The sequence below is a fragment of the Homo sapiens genome, chromosome 5 (assembly GCF_000001405.40).
Source record: "Homo sapiens chromosome 5, GRCh38.p14 Primary Assembly".
NCBI lineage: Eukaryota > Metazoa > Chordata > Mammalia > Primates > Hominidae > Homo > Homo sapiens.
This window is the reverse complement of record NC_000005.10, coordinates 5,620,601-5,629,366: the sequence shown is the minus strand read 5'-3', so window position 1 is coordinate 5,629,366 and position 8,766 is coordinate 5,620,601. Positions and strand designations below refer to the sequence as shown.

At 44.3% G+C, this 8,766-nt stretch overlaps 1 annotated feature.

Annotated features, from left to right (window-relative positions):
* Positions 7,493-8,023: an enhancer, noted in NCBI's record as "NANOG hESC enhancer chr5:5621457-5621987 (GRCh37/hg19 assembly coordinates)". NCBI's record gives its function as "activates a minimal SCP1, AML or CMV promoter by ChIP-STARR-seq in primed H9 embryonic stem cells {active_cell/tissue: H9 hESC(primed)}" and the evidence as "EXISTENCE:reporter gene assay evidence [ECO:0000049][PMID:30033119]".

The following is an 8,766-nucleotide window of genomic DNA, read 5'->3' as shown; positions in this document are numbered from 1 at the left end:
CAGGGTTGCGGAGTCCTAATGGGTCTCTGAAAGGCCTTGAGTGTCTGTGCAAGCTCCTCCAGCTTTGTAATTGCACATTCTGACGGGCATAGAAATGAGTGTAAGAATGAATGAAGTCACAGAATTGGTGTCTGTGAGAAAATTCACACCTGAACTGAAAACCACCACTCTCAGGTGATCACAGTGAAGCATGTGTTTGACTGTCCTAGAGAGGCAGAGGAAGCCCAGGCACCGTCGGAGTTGTGAGTGTCAAGAGTCAGCTCACAGGCTCATGCTCCACTGCCAGGAAAAATGCAGGAGCAGCCGTGTGCGCTTGCTCTAATCCTGTGCTCCTCTGCCCAGCCCAGCACTGTATCCCGGATTGGCCGTCACCCCATGCAAAGAGCCTCTGGCAAGAGTCTGGGAGATATTTGGGGATCAGAAGGACTCTCCACCCAACGACTGGGTGGCCTTTTCATTCACCATGCATGAAACATGAATTCAAAGTGTTAAAAGCAGGGATGAGGGGAGAATGGAAAGGCAAGAGGGAGGAAGAGAAAGCTGAGGGAAGGACAAGGAGATGGTAAGGGTGGGCAGAAAGAAGGCCCCATTTCCCACATGGGGCCTCAGTCCCTCCTTGGACCACCCCTCCCTCCCTTGCTCCCTCACACAGGCTGTGGAGACACAGGTTCACCTGGACTGAATCTCCTCCTGTTTATGCTCAACATTTTGGCTTGAAAATAATCCTGAAGGATGGCGGAGGAAGCATTTTTGGAAACACAGATGTGTTCTAGAGGCTGGACACAGGCTCAGGCTGTGTCTGTGCAGAAAAGTCCCTCTTGTCCCTGGGCAAGGCAGAAAAATGGTCCAGGCCTCACACATGTCCATCTTTCCCTCTTTCCTCCTCTGGCCTCATCTCCCTGCATACCCACCGCCTGGATTCTCCTGTGAATTAGCCCTCATCACTACCTCCTCCTCCTCGCAACCAGCTGCTCAGTCTTAGGGCACAAGGACTTGTGAGTAAACAATTGCAGTGGAGGGCTGCAGCAGTGCCACACAGAGGCAGAGTCCTCGGGCACGCCGGGGAAGGGAGGTCTCCCGTGGGGGTCTGCAGAGGTCTTGGCTGTGCCACCCCACGGCCTTCCACTCTCCTCAGTCCCTTCTGCTCCCTCCTCTGAGCCTCCAGAATGCCTTTTTGTTTTTTTTCTTTTTAATTTTACATAGACTTTATTTTGTAGAGCAGTTTTAGGTTCAAAACAAAATTGAGAGAAAGGCCCAGAGAGTTCCTATTTACCTCCTGCCCCTCCAGGCCCTCCACTATCAGCATCCCCTACAATGTGTGCCTTTGTCATGAACAGTGGACCTGCACAGACATATCGCTATCCCCTGGAGGCTGTAGTTTACACTAGGCTCACTCGTGGGGCCGCACATTCTGTGGGTTTGGACAGATAGATAGTGACATGGATCCACCATGAGGGTATCATAGAGAGTAGTTCCCAAATCCCTTGCACTCTGTCCACTCACCCCTCCCTCCCCACTCACATCCGGCAACCACGGACCTTTCTCCTGTCTCCATAGTTTTTCCTTTTCCAGAAGGTTATATATTGGAATCATAGACGTAGCCTTTTCAGACTGTCTTCTGTCACTTAGTAATGGGCATTTAAGGTTCTTATCTTTTCATGACTTCTTAGCTCACTTTGTTTGAGTATGTTATTTTGTTAAATAACATAATGTTGAAATGTGAATAATATTCCATTGTCTGGATGTACCGCAGTTATCCACTCACCTACTGAAGGGCATACTACGAAGGTTGATTCACAGTGACTTTTAACAAACCCAGATTTGTCTTTTGCTCTCCAAGTCCTTAAAAAGCATTCAGGTCTCTGCCCTTCAGCGCCCTCCTGTTCCTGCCCCTCCGTGGCTGCAGCCACACTGACCTCCAGTCCCCCATCTTCTTCCAGCAGCCTAGAAATGACCCCCACCTTGTAGGTAGCAGAGGCCTTTAAGTCTCAGCTCGAATGGGCTTTCTTAGCAAGGCCTTCCCCAACTACCCAAAGGAAAGTCTTCCTCAGTTTCTCAAGTACCTTTTTTGTTCCCTTCACCGCACCCTTCAGGGCTTGTATTCACATACTTGATTCCCGCTTGCTGCTTTCACGCATCTCTCCCTGTGCCATGACTCTGTGTAGGCAGGTAAGGACCTCGCCCCATGCCGATTACGATTCCTCACACCCAGAAGCTGCCAATAAATAATCGTGGAATGTGGAGTGAGTCTAAGTTATCATAGATAAAGGGAGTCAGTATGGCCAGGAGACTGCATTTTCAATAGGGATTGTTGATGAAAAGGATAAGAAGACTCATCTAGTACAATGCACACATCATTATTTTATAATATAAAATATTAGCAAAATCTGTATGAAGGTACATAGGTATACAGTTGTATAATGTATTTCTGACATAATGAAAGAAGAAAGAACTCTCCCCATTAGATTTTCATATAAAGTATACCCATTTTTATTTGTTACCATATTTTATCATACCTAAGATGTATTCTAACTTCAGAATTGCTAAAATATTTAAATTTTTAAAAAGACACAATTGATTGTAAGACTCACGTTGATCCAGAGCTGTTGTTCCATTTATCCAGCCTGCATAACAAACCACCCAACACTCAGGGGTATAAAATAACCACCATTCATTTTGATCTTGGATTGTGTAAGTCAGAAATTTGAACAGGGCACAGCAGGGAAGGTTTGTTTCTGCTCCACAATGCCTGGGGCCTCAGCCAGAGGACATGAGATTCTGGAGGTGACTTCAACAGCTGGAGGCTAGACTAACATGGAAAATTTTTTATTTGCCTGGAGCTCTCTACTGTGTGGTTTTAGGCTTTTCAAAGCCATGGAAGCTGGGCTCTGAGAGGGATCACTCCAAAAGGAAGTGTCTTAATCTATCCAAGCTACTATAATGAAAATACCATAGACTTGGGGGCTTAAATAACACTAATTTATTTATCACAGTTCTGGAAGGTGAAGTTCAAAACCAAGAAGCCAGCAGATCAGTGTCTGTTGAAGGTCCTCTTCCTGGTTTGCAGATGGCCATCTTCTGGTTGTGTCCTCACAAAGTGGAGAGCAGAGAGAGAGCTCTGTAAGGGCACTAATCCCATCATGAAGGCCCCATCCTCATGGTCAAGTCACCTCCCAAAGGCCCCTCCTCTTATCACTTTGGGGTGAGGACTTCAACAAACGAGTTCTGGGGGACACAAACAGGCAGAGTTCTGACTTATCCTTAGAAGTGATCCAGCATCACTTAGGCCATCTCTGTTGGATACAAGTGAGTCTCTAATGCCAGCCCAGATTCAAGGTTTGGGCAAGGAAATCAGCCCAGTTCATGATAAAGGTGAGGAGAGGGGCAAAGTCACTGCAGAGGAGCACGTGGAATGGGAAGTAGTTTTGCAGCCATTCTTGGTAGATTCAATCTGCCACAAATGTTAAAATGTGAAATAATGGTAGCATAAAATTGATTAAACAGGGATTTTACACAATGGCTATTTCAAGTGTGTGTGCGTGTGTGTGCATGAACACATGCGTTTATGTATAATTATTTATTTATAATATACTTGAAGCCTACTGTGGCAGATGCATTGACTGTGCACCAAATGTGAGTGTGCTTTGCCACATTTCCCGGGCTCCTGCCAGGTACTCTGGGCCATGAAATGATTTCTGGCAAGTAGGGTATGAGCAAAAGTGACTGCTTTAATTTCAGGTTGATGCACTCAAGGGCTGTTGCACAGAACTCCAGATCTCTTTTCTCCTGCTGTGGCTACTTTTTCCACATGTGCACCTACAAATTAGTAGATTCCAACTCAACAGGTGACCCCCACACACTCTTTCCACCTCACCATCTCACTGTTTTTCCCAGTGAATGTTGTGTAAGCAGGACATCAAGTCTCATGTTATTAAATCAGTGCAACTTGAGGATTTATCTGTTACCACAGCAGAGGATCATGTGATTAGAATAATAATAAATACTGTGCAAAGTTGGTGAAGTCCTACTGAAATAAAAACCCAAAACATATGGCATCGATTCAGTGAAAGAGTGTGCCAAGAGGACTGATCTCAGAAGCTAAAACAATGCAGATCCATATTGTAAAATGGCAAAGCAGTAGTGTGTACAGGTTATTTCTGGGATTCAGAAAGGTATTGCAAGAAAGACAGATGGGCAGAAAGCACTGGCCAGTCTGCAAGCACAGATGAGCGAGAACAGAGAGAGCCCAGATTGTGGAGCCCTTGCAGTGTTAGACAAACTGATTATCTCTAGACCCCAAATAACACATGGGATGTTAAAATACTTGGAGTGATGAAAATCCAGTAAAACCTCAAAGCAGCCAGCACTAAGGAAAGAGAGATTTATGAGAATGATAAAGAAATATAGCACACCTGAGAACCATGCCTTGCCAAGAATCTCCTCCTTGGCCAAACTTTAGTCAGACTCCTCTGAGCCCCCTTGTCCTGAGTCTGCAGAGTCAAGTTTTAGCAAGAATCCTAGGCCAGGTTAGCACAAATGCCCTTACCCTTAATATCTAATCAATGTCCTCTTCCCCAACACTGGTATCTCATTAGTTCCTCTTAGTAATTTCTATCCACTGACCCCCTCACTCTGATACTTGGCTATAAATCCCCAGCTGTCCTTGCTGTATTCAAACTTGAGTTCAACCTCTCTCCTCTACTGCAGTAGTCTCAACTCTATTGCAATTGTTTTGAATAAAATTATTCTTTTCTGTTACATTCTGTCTGATGTAGTTTTCTGTGATAGCCTAGAAAGGAATTGTGTACACTCTATTTACAGAAAACAGACAAATAGTCTAAGTTTTCACAGGAATTATGTTGCCATATGAATTGTGAACTAGCTCTTTTAAACAACCAGATCTCATGCGAACTAACTTAGCGATAACTCATTTATCACCAAAGGAATGATGCTAAACCATTCATGAGGGATCCACCCCCATGATCAAATCACCTCCCACCAGGCTCCACCTCCAATAATGTGAATCACATTTTAAAATGAGTTTTGAAGAGGACAACATCTAAGCCACATTGTTCCACCCCTGGCTCCCCAAATCTCATGTTGTCCTTCTTGCATTTCAAAATATAATCACACCTTAGCAATAGTCTCCCAAAGTCTTAATTCATTCCAGTATTAACTCAAAAGTCCCAAGTCCCAAGTCTCATCTGGAGCTGAGTTCTCTCCACCTATGAGCCTCTGAGACCAAAAACAAGTTATTTACTCCCAAGACACAATGGTGGTATAGGCATTGGGTATACATTCCCATTCCAAAAGAAAGAACTTAGCCAAAAGAAAGGGGCAGTAAGTCCAACACAAATCTGAAACCCAGCAAGGAAGCCATTAAATCTTAAAGCTGCAAAGCAAGCTCCTTTGATTCCATGTCTTGCATCCAGGACATGCTAGTCCAAGGGGTGGTCCCCCAAGGCCTTGTGCAGCTTTGCCCCTGTGGCTTTGTAGGATGCAGCCTTGTGGCTCTTTTCATGGTTTTGAGTTCAGTGTTTGCAACTTTTCCAGGCAGAGGGTGCGATATGATGGTGAATCTACCATTCTGGAGTCTGGACAGTGGTGGCTCCCTTCCCACAGCTCCATTAGACAGTGCCCTGGTGGGGACTCTGCATAGGGCTCCAACCTCACATTTCTCTTCTGCACTGCCTTAGTAAAATTTCTCTGTGGGGGCTCCACCCCTGTGGCAGACTTCTGCCTGGGCATCTTTGCTTTTCCATACATCTTCTGAAATCTAGATGAAAACCACCAAGGCCCTCCTTCACTCTTACATTATGTGCACCTGCAGACTTAACACCATGTAGAAGCCACGAAGGCTTATGGCTTGCACCCTCAGGAACTGCAACCTGAACTGTACCTGGGTCCCTTTGAGCAAAGGCCAAAGCCTGAGCAGCCTGGATGCAGGAAGCAGTGTCCCAAGGCTGCACGGGGTGGTGGCACTCTGGGCCTGGCTCCTGAAACCATTCTTTCCTCCTAGGCCTCTAGGCCTATGATGGGAGAGACTCTCCCAAAGACTTCTGAAATGCCTCTGAGGTCTTTTTCCCATTGTCTTGGATATTAGTACTTGACTCCCTTTTAGTCAGGCTACTGTCTCTAGCAAGTGGTTGCTCCATAGCCTGCTGGGATTCCTTCTCTAACAGGGCCAGGATGCAAATTTTCCAAACTTTTATGTTCTATTTCCCTTTTAAATATAAGTACCAACTTTAAGTCATTTCTTTGCAGGAACAGCCTTCTGATAATAGGCTCTTAGAAGCAACCAGACTATATCTTTAACACTTTGCTGCTTAAAAGTTTCTCTGGCCAAATCCCCTAGGTCATCACTTTTAACTTCAAACTTCCACAGATCCCTAGGGCATGGAAACAATGCAGCCAAGCTCTTTTCTAGGCATAACTGGGGTAACCTTTACTCCAGTTCCCAATAACTTCCTCATTTCTATATAAGACCTTGTCAGCCTGGACTTCACCATCCATATTTCTATCAGCATTTTGATGATCACCATTTAACCAGCCTCTAAGAAGTTTCAAGCTTTCCCTCATCTTTCTGTCTTCTTCTGAGCCCTCCAAAGTCTTCTAACCTCTGCCCATTACCCAGTTCCAGAGCTGCTTCCACATCTTCAGGTATCTTTATAGCAATGCCCCACTCCTCAGTATTAATTTTCTATAGTTGGCCCTTCTTGTATTGTTATTAAAAAACACCTGAGGCTGGAAAATGTATAAAGAAATTTTAGTTTTATGTTTATTTTCACTCACAGTTTTGCTGGCTGTTCAAGAAGTGTGGTGCCATCATCTGCTTCTGGTGAGGGCCTCGGGAAGCTTGCAATTATGATAGGAGATGAAGAGGAGCAGCATGTCACACAGTGAGAGAAGGAGCAAAAGAGAGAGAATGAGGAGATCCCAGGTTCTCTAAAACAATCAGATCTCATGTGAACTCAGTGAGAACTCACTTATCACCGAGAAGATGGTGCTATACCCATCATGAGAGATCCATCTTCATGATCCAATCACCTCCCATCAGGTTCCACCTCCAACATTGGGAATCACATTTCAACATGAGATTTGGAGGGGACAAACATCAGAACTATATCCCTGGCCTAAACAAGCATGCAAAACTTGAGGTACAAACATTTTGTAAGCAGAAAGTGACCTGACAAAGCTATATAACTCTCAAAATAGATACATTCCACAAAACCCACATCTGATCTAGTCAAACAGAGTAGTGTACAAGAAGGTCTTTCCAGAAGATGGATTTAAGAATGAGAGAAAAAAAGGAACAAGAAAAGTTCTCCCAGAGATCAGGATCCAGAGCTAATGAACAAATAGTAACACTTCCATCTCCAGAATAACGGTGTTTGCAATGAGACTGTCAAACATTACCGCACAATTGACAGGAACCATTAACTTCTGTGTTTCTCTCATCAATTTTTAAATAGGATTGTTTACTGTTGTTAACTTGTGGTTCCATTATTGTTCATTGAGTGTGGACAACCTCCCTTTGTAGTTCTTAATGTGGGCTAAGAGGAGCCATGTCTTGACCTGATATAGGATGCACTGTGTATCCTGCTGAGATTCTGGACTTAGAACTGACATCAGCACTTGGATGGGACTTGTGGTTGTCTTTCTTGGGGAGGGGTTGGTGTAGTTCTATGTATGAGAACAGAGGAACTATGTCAATTAGAGCCCCAGCATGAAACCTATGGAACACACAAAGGGGCAATTGTAAAAGGTCAATTAAAATGAACAAAGGCATGGGCAATGTTAAATAATCCTACCAGAGATGGCTATCAAGGAAAAAATAGCAACAGTGGAAATCCATGACCTACTCTAAGGCTTTAGAGGTCAGAGGATATCCTAAGGAGAGTTGTAGCCATAATGAGAGGATTCCCACATGACTTGGTCAAACCAGGACTTGCTAGAGAAAATGTTGAGTGAGTTAATCCCCAGCTTTGTGATCTTGAGGGTGCTTTTTTGGTCAACTCCAGCTGGAAACCAAAAGGCAGAGAGTACAGATGACACAGGCCATGTGCTGCCCTTCCTCTCTCTAGCTTGGCTAATGAGTTGGAAGCAAAATGAAATGTGACTCTGCTGGACAAAACATTCGAGAGCAGGCACATGACCCTTAAGCTGCAGCAAATGAGAACGATGCAGATATAAGATGTTGTCATTCTTGTAAGCCTTGTTCCCTGAGTTACTATGTGGAGTATAATGTCCTGCCATCATGTATTAGATATGTAACTTTGGTAGAAATAAACTATTGTTACACTGTCTTTGAAATTTCATAGCTAATTTGTTCCTGTAGCACTTTACCTAAACAAATATATATTTCTTTCTTTCTTTTTTTTTTTTTTTTTTTTTGAGATGGAGTGTCGCTTTGTTGCCCAGGCTGGAGTGCAGTGGCGAGATCTCGGCTCACTGCAACCTCCACCTCCTGGGTTCATGCCTTTCTCCTGCCTCAGCCTCTGGAGTAGGTGGGACTACAGGCGCCTGCCACCACTCCCGGCTAATTTTTTTGTATTTTTAGTAGAGACGGGGTTTCAGCATGTTAGCCAGGAAGGTCTCGATCTCCTCACCTCGTGATCCACCCACCTTGGCCTCCCAAAGTGCTGGGATTACAGGCGTGAGCCACCGCACCTGGCCATATATTTCTATATGTGTATATTTATTTCTACATATGCAAATTTAAAAGAGTTATATATAAATTTATTGATTTCTATATTTCTGGAATGT